The sequence below is a fragment of the Homo sapiens genome, chromosome 16 (genome assembly GCF_000001405.40).
Source record: "Homo sapiens chromosome 16, GRCh38.p14 Primary Assembly".
Taxonomy (NCBI): Eukaryota; Metazoa; Chordata; class Mammalia; order Primates; family Hominidae; genus Homo; species Homo sapiens.
In genome coordinates this window covers 13,439,560-13,457,852 of record NC_000016.10, presented here as the reverse complement: position 1 = coordinate 13,457,852, position 18,293 = coordinate 13,439,560, and the positions used below count along the sequence as shown (strand labels likewise).

Below are 18,293 nucleotides of genomic sequence, written 5' to 3'. Positions count from 1 at the left end.
TACTATTTCTCATATGTGATTATTCATTTAATTTTCTTCTTGTTTCTCACGTAAATTACCTGAGCCTTCAGTTCCTGTTTGAGGACACTCCTAAGCATAAAGGGTGGCAACAGAAAGTTCTGGGGACTGTGTTTGTTGGTGGCTGAGTAGCCAGTGCAAAGAAACTCAATGCAAGTGGGATTAATCTTACGGATGGTAAAATGGCTCTAGGTAATACAGAAAGAACAACAGAGAACAAGCAGAAGGTGGAATGGTCAAAGGCTACACAAAGCTGGCGTCTGCATAAAGAATCAGCCTAAAGGGAGTCATTCAAAACTTAGGCTGTGAGCTGCAAGTGTGTGTGGGATTTTCCTATATAGGTGGTGCTATGGGGCAGACATGTGGCTGTGAGAGTCTGATGACTGTACAGTTAGAGGGAACACAGTCCAGGCAAGACTACTCTCACTTCTGAACTGGAAGTTCAAGAGAGGGGAGCAAAAGCACCCTGAGTTTTGATAATTACCTAGGACTCACAGAACTCACCAAAAGCTGTTTGTTTGTTTGTTTTTGATAGAGTTTCACTCTTGTTGCCCAGGCTGGAGTGCAATGGTGCGATCTTGGCTCACTGCAACCTCTGCCTCCCGGGTTCAAACGACTTTCCTGCCTCAGCCTCCTGAGTAGCTGAGTTTACAGGCATGTGCCACCACACCTGGCTAATTTTGTATTTTTAGTAGAGACAGGGTTTCTCCACATTGGTCAGGCTGGTCTCAAACTCCTGACTTCAGGTGATCCGCCCGCCTTGGCCTCCCAAAGTGCTGGGATTATGGGCGTGAGCCACTGTGCCTGGCCACCAAAAGCTGTTACAGTTACAGTTTATTACAGAGAAAGAATACAGATTAACATTAGCCAAGGGAATAGGCCTGTGGGCAGAGTCCCGGAAAAGTTCCAAACCTGAAGTTTTGTGTTATCCTTTCCCCATGGAGTCATGGATGGTGTTACTTTCCTGGCATCAACATGTGATGATAAGCATGGAGTATCCCCAGCTTTGGACAATTACCTGGGACTTGGTGTCCTGAGTTTTTACTGGGGCTTGATCACACATTGCCTGAATGGCAGCTTCTTCAGAGTTAGAGTTGACAACATGGCGCTGATCATTAGTCTTCAGCTTTTCTGGAGGTAGAACTGATAACGTATGGCCTAAAGCCTCCATCATAAATCACACTGTTAAACTGTCCAGTGGCCAAGACCCTCAGGCAAACAAAGACACTCTATCAGGCATGACATTCCAGGAGTTTGGAAATTACATCCCAGTAGCCAAGGGCAAAGACTGGACCTCACTTTGGATATGATTAATTCTTCATGACGCAGTGGCATTAAAGAATGGACATCGGCATCCCAGAATTGCCCCAGTGAACGATTCATTCATTCATTTCTCTGTCCAAAATATTGTACTAGGTATCGTAAGGAAAATAAATGGTGGAGGAAAAAACATGATTATTAAGCTGACTCAGGTGTCAGCAATAATGGGGAAATACAGCAGGTGGGAGTTGGAGAGGTGGTCTAGCTAGCTAGAGAGGCTAGCATTCGAGTGGGAAACAGGTTGAAGTGCACAGTCTAACGGCTTCCAGTTTTCATTTTAGAAGGATGAGATGAGAAAGTCCCGTCATGTGTCCCGGACATAGTGACGAAGTCATTCAGATTCACAAGAAATTGGCAAAGAGGAGTCACTAGCCAGATTTCAATTCCATTTGATTTTCTTCTTAGCAGTCCTTACATCTAAAATGATTTTGTTTAGTGTATGTCTCTCCTAGGACAATGGAGAACAGCATTTGTTTGTCTTTCTCAAGACACCTGCCAGGTCCTGAGAGTCCTTAGCCCAAGGTAGCCACGTTTTATCTCCTCATTAAGTGAGTCTGATTCCAATTCCAGGCCACAAGAAATATCTCTAAACTTTCTACTTACGGGGCTTAGGTTTCTCCAGCTAAATCTTAGAGAAAAACTCACAGTCATCAACAGAGTGGCTAGCTCCATATCAACTTCCCTTCATTTCTTCAAACAGGAGAATGATGCATTGTACTGGGGGAGGGAGGCTGCGGTTAGGGTGGTTCACTTGCCCTTTTAGATCCACTAAAAAGCTGAGGGGTAATTGCAGATGCAAACCTGGCACCGTTAACTGCAAAACTCCACACCGAATTAATAAAGAATTGGGCACTTAGCTTCATGTTTTTGCATCTTAACACATGAAGGCACTTTGTAAAGGGTTGAATGAACATAATTATCAATTTCCACATGCATATTAGGATTCAGCCGGGGCCAGGCAAATGCTTCCTAAACACAGGCTGTCAGCAATGACAATGAGCACTTTTACTCTCTTCTCTCATCCACCATGTGAACATTTGTGTCACTTTTTTTCTTTGGACTCCTTTTTACTGGTTTCTACATAAATCCCTGGTGAATGCAAAACATTGAAGGTGCACTTGAAGCCAATATAATTGGGAGTGGAGGACAAAATGGACTTTGACTTTGCTTTCTGTGGAAGAAATAAGAGACATATCCTATGGGATGGTGGAATTGGCAGAGAATGACTTGGGACAATGGAGAGGAAGGCTGCTTCATTTACTGGGAAATAACTTCAGACAGAGGCTGAGGCAGGGGATGATGTGAAATAGGGCATAGAAGGGAAATCTCATTCTGGAGAAGGAAAAATACTAAGGTATGTATATAAAATGAATTTTGGATACATAGTGTATAAAGGTATAATTATGTGGTTATATATATTTGGGCATACTCTGGTGTAGAAATTGAATAAACTAAAATAGTAGAATTAGAAAATGACTTAGGGGATATGATAAAAAAAAAAGAAGGTAGCTGATTATGCTTTTGTGATTGCAATAGTGAGATTGGCCAAGGACACAGATAGCATTCCACTAAATAGAGTGGGGTGAACACTCAGGCAAGTCTTCACATGGTCTGGCCATGAGACTGCCCTTCCCTCCGCTAATGAGTTTGTAATGAAGGAAGCCACATGAATAGAAGTAAATAGTAAGCAGGGACAGAGTAGCACAGGTCTGGTATCTCCAATTTTGGAGAAAGTCTAAGATGGAATATAGAAAAGATGATTCTCCTTCCTTCTGTCCATTTCTATTGATCCACGTCCAAAGCCTAACACCACATAATGGGCTTCGGGGGACAGTCTGGCTTCTTTTGTAGAGGCCAGGTGAAGCACAGGTGTTAGAGCAAGTCTGCCTATATTTGAATCGCCATTTTGTCACTATCTGTGTGACTTCGGGCATATTTCTTCCTGAGTCTTCCTCCCTCATCTGTAAAACAAAGATGACGACAATGGTACCAACCTATAGAATTATTGTGAGAGATAGGTGAATTTGCACAATTCCTGGCATGTAGCAAGCACTCATCAAGCACTTTCTATTACGATATTTAATACGTTGACAAGAGGATCCATGCGTGTGAGTCAGAGTGAGAAGTGGAGAGGTGTCAGTGAAGGCAAACACCTTTCGTAAAGTGCTTCTCCTACTCTGCCTGCATCTTTTAGCTCTTCTTCCTTCTGCCTATATCCTCATCTCCATTTTTTCCTTAATAATTTACATTGACATAGTATCTCCTTCATGTTCCGAAACAAACCCACGTTATAGGAAAACAAGGTATACAATGATTCTCAAAAGGTCAACCTTTTATAATTGTGCACGGTTGGTTAAATTTGTCCTGCAGGGGGAGCCCTTTCCCTCTCATCTCCTTACAGCTAGCCCATAAAAGAGAAATTTCTGTCCTCTAGAAAGGATCAAGTAGATATGTCTGCCTTCTCCTTACCTCTCACTGGTACTCTTCGAAGAAGGAGGAGTTCTTTAAATGACATATGAGATGAGGGTATTATTTGATGTATGAGATGACGGTATTATAACATTTGATGTATGAGATGAGGGTATTATAACATAGATCGGACAAGCCTCTGTACTGGAAAGAATTCATGTTCTAAAGACAGTGGATCCCTCTTTTTCTCATCTCTTACTCTTGATTGGGAGTGAGGTGAGCTGCAGTCTTCCATGCAGCTATCAGACAACAACCAACCAGACCTAAGCCTTCTCCTATGTGGTCCCCTATATCATTTAACAATGGGCATAAAACAAAGTAGTTTAAAATGTAGTGGCTTAAAACAACAACCATTTATTATGTTTTACTAGTCTATGGACTATCAGGATAGTTCTGCCAATTCGGGTGGGCTCGTTCCTGCATCTTCAGGCAGCTGGAGGGTTGTCTGGGGGCTGGCTGGTCTAGGATGGCCTGGTCTGGGGCAATTTGGCTTTGTTCCATGTGTCTGTCATCCTCCAGTAGGCTAGCCCAGGCTTGTTCTCATGACCATGGCAGGGATTCAAGAGTGAGCAAAGCCAGTTGCATTGAGAAGGCAAGAAAAAACTCACACAGGTTTGCAAGCTTTTGTATGAAGTTTGTGATTGTCTTATCTTACAAAATAGCTCACATTTCCAAGCCAGGGAGTTACAGAATTACAGGCAAAAGGTGTGGATAAAGGTAGGCCATTAATTGGGGTCATGAATGCAATCAATGTATCTCGATCCCAAAGTTTGCAATAAGGAGCCTGGGACACATATCCCCATATTGCAAGGGCAAAAACAAACGGTTTTCCCTGGGGATGCTAGAAAAGCTATACAAGGCTGGGCGCGGTGGCTCACACCTGTAATCCCAGCACTTTGGGAGGCTGAGGCAGGCAGATCACAAGGTCAGGAGTTCGAGACCAGCCTGACAAACATACAAAATACAAAAATTAGCCAGGTATGGTGGCACGTGCGTATTGTTCCAGCTACTCGGGAGGCTGAGGTAGGAGAATCGCTTGAAACAAGGAGGTGGAGGTTGCAGTGAGCTGAGATTGCGCCACTGCACTCCAGCCTGGGTGACAGAGTGAGACTCTGTCTTAAAAAGAAAAGAAAAGAAAAGCTATACAATGTGAGGGATTCTTGAGCCAACCTTTAGAAGATGAGAGTATATTCTTTAAGAGGGAAGAGGGCAAACCAGCTCAAGCAGAAGATCAGAGGCCCCAGACAGCTTGGTGTATTGGAAGACCTAGTAATAGCTCAGTGGAGTAAGTACAAAGAGGCAACATGAGAGCTGAGGTTGAAGAGGTTGAGCCAAATAGCTTAGGTTTTTATCTTGCAGTCTACCAGAAGCCACTGAAGATTATTATGCTATTGAATGATGTGATCAGCTTTTCTTTGGAAAGATAACCCTTGCCCAAAGTAGTAGGAAGAGGATGCAGAGACTAACACCCATCCGATCTGTAAGTTGGGAGACTTTTGTTGTCAAATAATGCTCCATCTTCCACCTACCCACCTTTGTTTAGCTCTGTTGTTTCTCTCAGGAACACAGCCAAGTGGTTGTAATTCACAAACCTGGAAGCCAGCTCTTTTCAGAGTTGTCAGACAATAAGGTATATGGACCGTGGCAACAAAAAAAGAACACTGGAAATAATGGCTGGAATAAGAAGCAAAGCCTCAGTTTGAGGCTCTTTCTTGCATTTTCACCCTGAAGCATCTATAATTAAGCTGGAGAGAAATGATTTACTTAATTCATGTTATTTTATGCAATATCATTAGCAGTATTCAGTTGTTTCTTTATTACCCCTGTGCACCCTCCCTCTGTAACAGTTGAGAATAACAATTGGGCTTTACTTGTCTTCGGGAAGCCAGCCCATTCATTGAAGGAAAAATGGCCCCAGCCCCAGGTTGCCATAGACACTGGAGAAGGCTGTCACCGAGCTGCAGCACACCTATTTCCTGGTGACATGCAGAATTAGAGGTATTGGGGAATCAAAGGGAAAACTAACTTGATGAAACAAAGGGTCCCTTCAGCATCTCCTGACATACTTCTTTGCAAAAGCAGTCTCTCTGTACCCCTTCTCCCTTCCCCTTCTCCTTGAAGCCAGGTGAATGAATTTGAATCCGAAGCCCTGAGAAGAATGAAAGCAGTAACTTCCATGCATGGCTCAAAGTTATGCACAGGGCAAAGACCTCCTTTAAATCACATCGGCGACTTGCCAGGATTCCAAACTTCTTGACATGTCCACAGTCCTCAAGGATCTGTCACATGCCTATGTCTCTACATTCCTCAGTTACTCTGTTATCATTATGCTGTCCTCCTTTGAGAGCATAAATGTGCAAAGCATTTTCCCAACTAGGGGATCTTTGTCCTCCATGATTCCTCTTGCTAGAATTCTCTCTCTCTTGCCCTTTATGTGGTTGGCTCCTTGCTCTTCAGGTCCTCCGATCTTCAGTTTGAAGGCCACTTTTCATGATCACCAGGTCTGCCCATTATATCTAAAAGTAATCCCTCCACCTTATTCTCTATCACAGCATCTTGGATCTTTCCTGGTGAATTTGAGGATCTATAATTGTCTTTATTTGCTGTTGGCTTATTTATGACTTAGTCTCTCCCAATAGGGAGCAGGTTGCATAGATAGGTACCTGATAGATGTGTGTGCTTATCTGTGCTTGGTTTCTTCCCAAAGCAGACGCTGAGTCAGGGATTCAAGTGCAAGTGGTTGATTTGGGAGGTGAAGGCAGGACAGTGAGGAAAGGCAGACCATAAAGGGTGTGTTATCCAGTGAGTTACCACGGGGCAGCTGGAGAATAATCCTCCCGGGGAACTCCAAGAGCCAGCATGGAACACGCACCTCAGACGTACCACCACTGAGAAGTGATAGGGCTGGGGCAGCTATACACAAATTCCCATCCATCACTGAGGGCTGTTCCCGGGAAGCAGGCATTCTCCATCACGTTCACTCTGGCATGTCCAGGGGCAGAGCAGGCTCTGGTGGCCGGAGAAAGTCTTTAGGTGAACAGTTGTGGATGATACCACTGGGAGCTGGGTTATGTGTACCAAGATCTAAGAGGAAAAAGAGGGGACACTGATAGCATCGGTCACAGTTCTCCGTGGGTATTTGTTAAATGAATGAATGCATGATTCCTATGCCTCCTGCCGCCATATCGGATCCTCAAGAAATTTTCAAGCCTAATAGGGCAGATCGCTAGCACATGTTAAAGAAGAAAACAACAACAACAACAACAACAACAAAACAACAACACAGATTTTGAGCTCAGACAGAGCTGGCTTCAAATTCAGCTGTGTGACCTTAGACAAATTCCATGACCTTCTCTGAGTCTGCAGTTTTCTGTCTTGTAAAATTGGAGATAATAATTCCACTTCATAGGACTGTTGTAAAATGGTTGGAGACAGTGTGTATCGTTTATAATTGTGTCTGCATATAGCAGGTGATCAATAAATATCATTTTTATTTGCCATGAAATAGCAGCAAGTTCTACACAGCAGTGGGTGATGAAGGGCTAAATTAGGCTACAAAAATGAGGAGACCCATGAAAGTTGAAGTGGCCATGAATGGCTTCTAGAGGAGTTACTTATGCTTTGAAGAATTAGTGGGATTAGCATAGATCAGTGGGAGATGGGAGACCAGTTTGGCTAAGAGTAATATTCACTTCGACTTATCAGATGCTCACCATGCCTTAGACCTTGTTGGGAAGTACTTTATATATGTAATTCCCAATCTTCACAATATAACCCTACGAGGTAGGTGTTCTTAACCCTACCCTCAAGTTTTAAGATGCAAAAAACTAAAGGAAAAGTTAATTACCTGAGGTCATTCAGCAAGTAAGTAGTAGAACATGGACTAAAAGTAGGAATTGCCTTTGGCGAGCTTTGTGTGTATTTTTTTTTACACAGAGTCTCCCTCTATCACTCAGGTTGGAGTGCAGGGGTGCGATCTTGGCTCACTGCAACCTCCACCTCCCAGGTTCAAGCGATTCTTCTGCCTCAGCCTCCCGAGTAGCTGGGACTACAGGTGTGTGCCACCACACACTGCTATTTTTTTTGTATTTTTAGTAGAGACAGGGTTTCACCATGTTAGCCAGGATGGTCTCAATCTCCTGACCTTGTGATCCACCCACCTCAGCCTCACAAAGTGCTGGGATTACAGGCATGAGCCACAGCGCCCAGACCTGTCTTTGGAGAGCTTTGTAGAAAAGAGACAATGAGGTTCTCCCCAGAAGATGTCTACAATATAATGGTGAAGGTGGGACATATGGGTAGAAGCAACTTTTAAAAGGAGTGATGGGAGCCATATGGAAATGGGGTTTGCCGTGAATATCATGGAAGAAAGGCAAGTGGGGGCTTTACATAATGAAAGGAATGGAAGGGCAAATATGCTGTATTTTAAAAATTGAAGAAAAATTTACCTACAATGCAGTACACACACATTGATGGTACAATCCAGTGGATTCTCTCTGTATACAACCATCTAGCCACCACTCAAATCAAGATATAGAGTATTCCCATCACTCCAGGAAGTTCCCTCATGCTCCTTTCCAATCAATAGCTTCCCCTTACCCCCAGGAAGTTACTCTTCTGACTTTTATCCCCAAATATTAGATTTTTAAAGTAACACTTTTCTAATGTATAGAAAGAATAAGTGAGTGTCATAGAAAATTTAGACAATGACAAAAAGATAGAAGAGAATAAGTTAAATCACTCATAATCTTATGGCCTGAACATTTTGGTCTATTCCTTGAACATTTTGGTCTATTTCTTGCTGTCTTTGTTGTACATTTTAAAATTTTAACTTGAGACTATATTGTATATTTAATTTTATACTCTATTTTTTAAGGGAATCATTAGGACATTAGCATTTTTCCCAGGACAAATTCTTTGTAAACTTCATTTCACATGGCTTGAAATATTTCATTGAGGAATTCAGCTAAAAGGACTTACTGGTTCCCTAAATGTTGGCTATTTTAGTTTGTTTCCAAGGTTTCACAGTAATGACCACCTTTTTCATAAAGCTCTGTCTGAATTTCAGACCATTTTAATAGAATACGGGTGACAGTACTGGGCTAAAAAATTACATATTCTTCAAATGCTTGAAACCCATTGCCAAACAGCTTTCCAAAATATATAGATTTACACTCTTATCACCTGGATACACAAAGGGCACCCACGGAGCCACACACTTACTGGCATTGAGTGCTAATTTTTATTTGACATTTGAGACTATCCAGGAAAGTTTAGAAAAGCTCTTGAACTAAACGTTCTGTTTGGTATTCACTCTGAAGAATAATACTGGCTTATTTTCCTGTGATATTCTGTAATGTTTGGATATTCTGAATAGGCGACCTCAGAAATCACTATAGTTCAACATCTGGAGCCATCAATGAGAAATGAGTAGGGAGGACATATCAGGAACATGTAGGCTCTGCCTTGGGGCAGGGCCACAGATGGCTTCCTGTTATATAACTGTCTGCAGAAGAGTACGGTCCGTTCACCTCTTATCTCATTCTGGGCATCAGGAAGAAGTTGACAGACCCAGTCTGTGACTTGTGCAGCTTGAGAGGGTGTCTTTGTGATGATTGGGGCAGCATGAGAATGGATTATTATAGCGTAGGGCACAGCTAAGAGGCATAATGATCAGGGCCAACCTAGTGCTTAGGTCAGACTCGATAATGGCCTTTGAAGGCGTGTTCCACTATTTAAAATTACCCTCCCATCACCAGGAAATCTGGCCTTTTGCACTGGAATAAAAGACCAGGGTACATGTGCATGCTCTCTATAGGACACCTCCAAACCTACTTCCAGGGAAAGCACTCCAATGAAAATTTTTCTCCAAATGAGTGGGAAAACTCACCTCTGGCAGACTTTCAAAAGGCTCAAAGCAGTAAGTCCGATGGTGTATGTGTCTGGCAGCAAGAGGTTCATGTGGACAGGTGATTTCTAAACCCACCCTGGAAGTAATGCTTCTGTGACTAACGATAGACACCCTGGGCCTGTGTTTGTTGAAATGGTTTTCCTTTTCAGGTTTCTCTCTAAGTGACTTTGGAGCACATGATCGTCACCCTCACCTAATGACTTTTGTATGTCTTTTCTCAAGTCCATCATGCGTTCAAATGAAGGGCATGCAATAATTTTTGTTGCAAATGCATTTTTTTCAGAAGACCTTATTAGGTGCTGTGATGTTTACCCACTACAGTAATCACATTTCTGTGACGATCTTTCAACATGTGGGATAGAAAAAAAAGAGTTTTTTGTGTGTATGCAGTATGCAGCTGGCGAGTTGATGGTCTCCGAGTCTCATTAGCCTGGCCATTCTTGGTTCCTCTGTGTTTATTCCATGATTTGCTGATTATAATGCATGTCTATCTCCCAAAGAAAATGATTCCAACTTCCATGGAGATTAGACTGAGACTAAAAAGGCAAATGCCTGGGTGCTGGACACTCCTGGTAGCTTGGATCTGCCCACATGTGCAGCATCTGTAGTGGGTCTAGCAGGTGCTCTGTCTGTCCCTGTCTGCCCCGCATTGCTGGGTAAGCTGCTCCACCTTTCAGCCACACTGTGCAGCCAGAGATGGGCCAACATGTGACCAGCCTTTCCACCTATCAGTTATTGCTCTCAGAGTTCCTGCCACCTCCTTGGAACACTATGAATGTGTAGAACGCAAATCCGCAATCCATAGGGAACCCCAAACCACCACTTTCTAGACTTAGGAACCCCCCTGTTGTTCCTGCAGCTTCTGACTACTGGGACTCAAAACAGCTCCCTGACACAATTCAGAAAATCTCTTTAATGGATTTTTCAGAATGAAAATGTGAAAGGGACAGGGTGGTGTCTTCAGCTTCTGGGTGAACATTCTCAAGCCAAAGGCTCACATGTGCCAAGATGCCATCTTTAAGCAGGGGTGGAGAGAAAATATAGAAAACAAAATACAGATGGATTTTATTCTTTCTTTCTCTCTCTCTCTTTTTTTTTTTACAGCCCCACACATAGTTTTACCCTGTCCCTTTCACTTTTTTTTTTTTCTTTTTTGAGATGGAGTTTCGCTCTGTTACTCAGGCTGGAGTGCAGTGGCAAGATCTCGGTTCACCACAACCTTCACCTCCCAGGTTCAAGCGATTCTCGTTCCTCAGCCTCCCAAGCAGCTGGGACTACAGGCATGTGTCAGCGTGCCTGGCTAATTTTTTTGTATATTTTAGTAGAGACAGGGTTTCATCATGTTGGCCAGGCTGGTCTCAAACTCCTGGTCTCAAGTGATCCACCCGCCTCGGCCTCCCAAAGTGCTGAGATTATAGGAGTAAGCCACCGCGCCCAGCATGGATCTTATCCTTTCTGATTCTCCCACAACCAGAAACACACACACACATACACACACAGTCTCAACAAGTTGCCTTGCCATACATATGCTCTCTTGCTTAACTCCTATTAATCCTTCTAACCCCCAGCTCAAAATCTCATTCTCTAAGACATCTTATTGGTCTCACTGCAGCAATTGAAAGCAATTCACTTCCCCCTCTGCTGACCCTGCTTTATTGGCCTCACTGAACTCATAATACCAAATTCAATTTTTTATCTTATAGACTACAAGTGACTTGTGGGCAAGAATTTTTAGTTCCAACATCTTTGCCTCCCTAGGACATAGCCCAGTGTCAAATGCATATTAGGGACTCAGTAAATGTTTTTCATTATATTGAATGTTACAGTAAACCTGCTCCTAGTTAATATAAATAATAATAATACAATGAGCTCTTAAAATGTGCTAGGCACGGCCAGGCACGGTGGCTCACACCTGTAATCCCAGCACTTTGGGAGGCTGAGGCTGGCAGATCACGAGGTCAGGAGACCGAGACCATCCTGGCCAGCATGGGGAAACTCCGTCTCTACTAAAAACACACAAAAAAACTAACTGGGCATGGTGGCGGGCACCTGTAGTCCCAGCTACTTGGGAGGCTGAGGCAGGAGAATCACTTGAACCAGGGAGTCGGAGGCTGCGGTGAGCTGAGATCGCAGCACTGTACTCAGGCCTAGCAACAGAGTGAGACTCTGTCTCAAAGAAAAAAAAAAGTACTAGGCAATATTCTAAATGCCTCTTTGACTCTCAAATGAGGGCAAAACTTCTTACTAGTCTTGGAGGTAATGTTATTAGCCCCCATTTTAAAGGTAAGAAAACAGAGGCTCAGAGAGGTTTAGCAACCTCCCAAAGTCACATAACTGGTAAGTGGTAAAGTCAGGATTTGAGTCTAGGTCGTCTGGCTTCAAGTAGAACCCATGAGTTTAACCTACTGCTTCAGTATATTGTCCCTAGATTAATCTCATAGCACTGTGAATTAAAACCAAAAGTTTCAATCAAAGGAAATGGTAGTGAACAAAATAATTTCAAATTTACCTAATAATCTCATAGCGCTATGAATTAAGACCAAACATTTCAAAGGAAAGGGTAGTGAACAAAATAATTTCAAATTCACCTCTAAGAATAACAGCCTCTTTTCACTATCACTAATATTTAAGCCAATATATGCTCATTCCTTTGTGTCTTCCTTCGTTCTTTCTGCAAATATTTATTGACCACTAGGTTCCAAAGACTATTATAGGAATTGGGCTTCAGTAATGAACAGAAAAGGACACAACCTTTATCTCCACAAAGCTTAACATCTAAATTCATTCAAATTTAACTGTTTTTCAGCAAACATCTCTTGAGAACCTCCTTTGTGCTGAGATTGTGTTAGGTGCTGGAGATGCAAAGAAGGATCCACAAGACTCTGTGGGTGCCTTGACAAACTTATAAATAGGAGGGAGACAAGCACATAACAAGAATTAAAATGCAAAAGGATGAAAAAGAAATCTTTTCCAGGCTGAGTGCAGTGGCTCACACCTGTAATCCTAGCACTTTGGGAGGCCGAGGTGGGTGGACTGCTTGAGCTCAGGAGTTCGAGACCAGCCTGGGCAACAAGACAAGACCCCTGTCTCCATCAAAAATACAACATATATATATATATATATATATATATATATATATATATATATATATAGCTAGGCATGGTGGTGTGTGCCCATGGTCCCAGCTCTCTGGGAGGCTGAGACACAAGAATCACTTGAGCCCAGGGGGGCAGAGGTTGCAGTGAGCTGAGGTTGCACCACTGCACTCCAGCCTGGGTGACAGAGCAAGAGCAGAAAAGAGGAGGGAAGGGAAGGGAAGGGAAGATGGAGGGAAGAGGGAGGGAAGAGGGAGGGAAGAAAGAGAAATCTTTTTCCAGATCTGGGAGTCTTTCTGGAGGAGACATGGTGGCACTGAATCTTGAAGAATGCACAAGGGTTAACCAGGTGGAGAACACTGGTGCAGCTGTTGCAAAGGTGTAGAGATGAGGACCCACAACCTTCTGAGCAGCTCTCTACAAACAGTTTGGTGTTGCTCACACATAGTGAGAGACAATCAAGACTAGTAGATAAAGTTGGAGAACATAAAGGACACAGACAATAGAACGTGCTGGAAAAATGAAAATATTTCCAAAAGACCTGCAAGACTTTCCCCTTCCTCCCTTCTTTCCTTCCTTCCTTCCTTCCTTGTTTCCTCCCTTCCTTCCTTCCTTCCTTCCTCCCTCCCTCCCTCCCTTCCTTCCTTCTTTCCTTCTTCTCTCTTTCTTTTCACAGAGTCTTGCTCTGTCACTGAGACTGGAGTTCAGTGGTGTGATCTCAGCTCACTGCAACTTCCACCCTCTGGGCTCAAGCAATCCTCCCACCTCAGCATCCTGAGTAGCTGGGACTATAGGTGCGTGCCACCTCGCCTGGCTAATTTTCATATTTTTTGTAAAGACAGGGTCTGTCTATATTGCCCAGGCTGGTCTTGAACTCTTGGGCTCAAGAGATCCTCCAGCCTTGGCCTCCCAAAGTGCTTGGATGACAGGCGTGAGCCATATTTTCTAATATTTAACAGCAATGAAAAGGAAACAAACCAGTCTTGGTGAAGGGGAGGGGTGAGGAGCTTCCTTCTAAGATGGTTTTGTAAAACACAGATCCTGGGAGATGGCTATTCCATGACAATTATTGCCTTGCCAGGCCAAGAAGTACTTTGGAAGTAAGTTACTGGACTTCTAGGCTGGACTTCTACTTTGTACAAGAAGGAAACTGTGTTTAAACAAGATTGATGTCCAGATGATCCCATAAGAGACAGAAAATAATGTCAAGGGGGAGAAAAAAGAATAAAGAGAGGCCTAAGAAGAATAATAAAGGGGCATTAGATTAGTGGATGGTTTATGATGCGTGCCATTTTGTTAATGTTAATCTTTCCCAGGTGTGTCATAGAAGTCGCAGAACAAGGCAATAAATGAAAGTTTTATTTTCTTGTTTAAAATGAGCCCCTATAAACTAAATAAAAACATAGGGGCTTGGGAACATGCAGAATTGATTACAAGGACATAAAATTGATCAGAGGGGTATGTCCCAGCACGTAGTAACGAAAACAATCACTGTCATTTATGTTGGATTGCTACTTTAAAGATTATCAGGGCTTGCACGGTGCATTACTTCCTAAGATCTTATCTCAGCTCTGGGAAGTGGAAATTGTACCATCCCCATTTTATAGATAACAGATAATAAAATGGACAAGTATTTCCCAAAGTCTTTCAGTAAGAAGCCAAATTGGAATTCAAACTCAGATGCACTGACTCTAAAATGAATTCATTTGGTCTATATGACATCCTCTCCCAAACCTCCTCTCCTAGAAAAAGTTCTCCGAAGATTAGTTAGAATTTCTTCATTTCCCTGGTCCCAAGTCACATTGAACCATCAACCTCAATAAAATCTCTTCAACACAGATGATGTTCATTATATTTGGTACAGTTGGATTCCTGAAACATTGTTTTCCACTTTTGTCCAGTGAACTTTCCCAGAAAAAACAGTATGTTGTCTCAAAATAAAAGAAGTGTAATGGAAAGTCCTTTTATGGGCCGTCTTGTGAGTCTGGTCTGCTTTTGCCCCTCAGTGAGTTATGGCTCTGATGAAGGAAAGAAGTCTCTCAAACTAAAGGAGAGTAGGAAACAGTCAGCTGCCAACCTATTTTTATTTGGTGTGCAAAGTATTTTGTTTTGAGCAGCTTGTTTTCTTTTAACTATTAATGTTGAAATAGGTATGGACTCACTGGAAGTTGCAAACTTAGTATACACTCCCATGCACCCTTCCACCAGCCATCCAACAGTAACATCCTTTTTTAAATTTTTATTTTTTTGTTGAGACCAAGTCTCACTATGTTGGCCAGGTTGGTCTCAGACTCTGGGGCTCAAGTGATCCTCCTGCCTCAGCCTCTTGAAATGCTGAGATTATAGGCATAAGTCACCTTACCTAGTCCCCAACAGTAACATCTTGAAAATCTGAAGTACAATATTATTGCAGGATTTTTTTAAATGAATTTGTTTGCTGGGTGAGATGGCTCATGTCTGTAATCCCAGCACTTTGGGAGGCCAAGGTGGGCGGATCACCTGAAGTCAGTTCGAGACCAGCCTGGCCAACAAGGTGAAACCCTGTCTCTAATAATAATACAAAAATTAGCCAAGTGTGGTGGTGCATACCTGTAATCCCAGCTACTTGGGAGGCTGAGGCAGGAGAATCACTGTACCTGGGAGGTGGAGGTTGCAGTGAGACAAGATCGCGCCACTGCACTCTAGCCTGGGCAACAGAGTGAGACTCCATATCAAAAAAAAAATTGTTTCCTTGTTAACATTTGCAGACACATCAAGATTCAGGTGTCTCTGTGTCTCTTCCAGAAAGATTTCTACAGCTGGAAAAAGATTTATTTTGTTTCTCATCCTTTTACCAAACCAAAACAAGCAAAGAAACATCAACAACAAAACTAGGAGGTCTAACAGAAGAGTTATATTTCTGCCCTTTCTTGGAGACTTGGAAGATCTGGCAATGTGCTCCCACTTGGAAGCTATTGAGGCTAACTACTGGCTGCTTCTTGCCAACAGGCAAGCACTCTTCAGATCTAAGAAGCTCCATCACTTTCATTATCTGTCAGGCCCTGGAGGCAGCTGAGTTTGCATTTGCAAATACAGAGTAGAGGTAACTGCATTTTTTGGAAGGGAAAGTTTTGAGTCATCTTGGGTTACCTTTTCAGCACATCCCTTTGGGTTGGGAATTATATGGCTACGGCCCCACACATAGTTTCAGGTCAAAACACATCTGAAACCAGAGCTCTGAGGCTGGGGTGCTGTCATGCTTAAGTCATCCCAGTTTTAAGCTGGGGTGACTTCAATAGGGACGGCACCAGGTTTGACAGGCTAACGAGACCCAGAGCCAGTGAATGAGACATAGGGTTCATTGAAGACTTACATACAGGGCAGTCCAGTGGGGGCAGACTGGACAGGGGAATCACAATCACTTATAGAAAACATGCAGTCTATAGAGCATTTTCACTTAGCACCCTCCCCTTAGCAACCTACACCTAGCAACCATCATTTAACCCAAAACAAAGGGCATTGATCTCCATGCATGGCCTGTGTTCCATGGGATAGGCTGGGGGATTTAGATGTTCCTCATAGATAGGGAATGGATCTCTAGGTTGGCCACTCTTGGATTCCTTCACTTAGAACTCCAAACACAGATTCTTAGATGATAGGGTCATTCTCAGGTATGCTTAAGTTAAACTCTTGCTCTCAGGTGTGTCTGCCAAGTAGGTGCACAAATTTCCATTCTTGGGATTTGGTGACTCCAGGAACCTCCTGACAGTGAGGAAAGTTTTGTGTCCCTCTGAGCCTGGCAGGTTTAAGCATTTTCATTTTAGAAGGATGCCATATTGTTGTTTACGTTTCCTTCTCTACAATTCAGCTTCCTCTTTCCCAACAGACAGAAATGGAGTTCTAAGCACAGTTTGCGTGTATTTTTCTTCAACTGCTTTTATCTTCTGCTTTTATTTTTCCTCAGGTCCCTGTGAAATCAAATATATTTCTTCTCTGCTATCTCTGTCCTCTCCACTCCCTTCCCAGACCCCACCTCTTGCTCTCATTATTGCCATGTGAGTTGGATTAATTTTCTCGACTCCCAGATTATCCCTCCCGGGATCTGGAATATATCAATGACTTTTTTTTTTTCTTTTTTTTTTCCCAGAGTCTTGCTCTGTCACCAGGCTGGAGTGCAGTGGCACGATCTCAGCTCACTGCAATCTCTGCCTCCCGGGTTCAAACGACTCTCCTGCCTCAGCCTCCTGAGTAGCTGGGACTACAGGCACGCGCCACCACGCCTGGCTAATTTTTATATTTTTAGCAGAGAAGGGATTTCACCATGTTGGGCAGGATGGTCTCGATTTCCTCGTGATCCGCCCGCCTCGGCCTCCCAAAGTGCTGGGATTATAGTCGTGAGCCGCCGCACCCGGCCACCAATGTCCCTTTTTTAATCAAAGCACACACAGGTTTTAGGCTAATAGAAAAGACATTTAGAAAAGAAGCTCAGAGCAGAAGAGACTCTGTTAACAGAATAACTAGGAGACATGCAAAGGGGGCGTCAGTCTTGACATTTTGAAATCTGGATGTCTCTGCTCTGTTTTAAAGCCAGTCAATGGCAAGGTGCTTTCTCTTTCCTTCTCCCCCTTCAATAAACGAGCTTAAACTCTATCCCTGATTCCCAACACAGCAGCAAACCAAATAGATGGAATCAAATGACTGACAACTCTTCCCTAAAGCCAAAGAGAAAAGCAGATGAGGCTCTATTGCAGAAACAGAAGGCATTAACGGGATTAGAGTTCCATGGATGAAGACTGGGAATTAGAGGGTATACAAATGGGAGAGGCTTCCTTCTGAGGAAAGGGAGCCCCCAAGTATTCAGAATGAACCTTCCACCCCCACCCACATACCATTAAGAAACCACCTTCAAATTCATGGATTCTGTGGGGGCATTTGACTGCGTGATAGTAAGACTGATAATTTACCAGACCTCCCCTCCTCCATTAAGGAGATAAACTTACCAACGAGTATAGGAAGGCTTTGACCCTCCCAGAACGCACGTCCTCTTGAGGCGCGGCTGCCTGAGTATTAACTCAGTTCCTTAACAGCATTTTATCTAATCACAGGCCCAGCTGCCCATGCTGGTAAATCGCTGAGATCACTGCCCTTCTAATGGAAAGTTTGGAGGTCAGAAGAAGCAGAGTTGACTCCCAGCTGGGCTTTTGAGAGCTGACCTTTTATTTCCCTCTATGGCTCTGTGGCAGAACCAAGTCCTCATTTCTCACGAAGGCCCTTGTAATTGGTTTTCACACGCTGGCAGCAGCGGAGACATTTAATGAGGGGGAGGCCAAGGCTCACATTCAAGGTATTAAAGATTTGAGAACTTGAAGGGTCACCAGAAGCCATGTCTCCTGCCTTCAGTTTCTGCCATTTTTTTGTGCCATTTTTGGTTTCTTCCACCAACCCCTAGGTCCCCCTTCCAAGCCATTACATCTGAAAGACAGGCTTTCCTGAATATCCAA

At 43.3% G+C, this 18,293-nt stretch overlaps 1 protein-coding gene across 4 annotated transcripts in view, besides 2 other annotated features; it reads right to left on the bottom strand.

Annotated features, from left to right (window-relative positions):
* Nucleotides 1–18,293, bottom strand: part of SHISA9 (shisa family member 9) — a 661,420-nt gene that overhangs the window by 105,165 nt on the left and 537,962 nt on the right. Inside the window, exon 5 of one of the 4 annotated variants that reach the window (XM_047434582.1) lies at nt 4,901–6,891. The exons of the other annotated variants lie outside the window; for them this stretch is intronic. Coding sequence (XP_047290538.1) covers nt 6,742–6,891 — 150 coding nt within the window. The 3' untranslated portion in view covers nt 4,901–6,741. Of the gene's footprint in view, nt 1–4,900; nt 6,892–18,293 lie in introns of those variants that run through there. 4 annotated transcript variants of the gene reach the window in all.
* Nucleotides 4,025–5,224: an enhancer, noted in NCBI's record as "BRD4-independent group 4 enhancer chr16:13546486-13547685 (GRCh37/hg19 assembly coordinates)". NCBI's record gives its function as "activates an origin of replication core promoter dependent on BRD2, P300/CBP, MED14 and CDK7 cofactors, and independent of BRD4, by STARR-seq in HCT116 cells {active_cell/tissue: HCT116}" and the evidence as "EXISTENCE:reporter gene assay evidence [ECO:0000049][PMID:35650434]".
* Nucleotides 15,903–15,952: a silencer, noted in NCBI's record as "silent region_7222". NCBI's record gives its function as "represses an Ori minimal core promoter by ATAC-STARR-seq in GM12878 lymphoblastoid cells {active_cell/tissue: GM12878}" and the evidence as "EXISTENCE:reporter gene assay evidence [ECO:0000049][PMID:35858748]".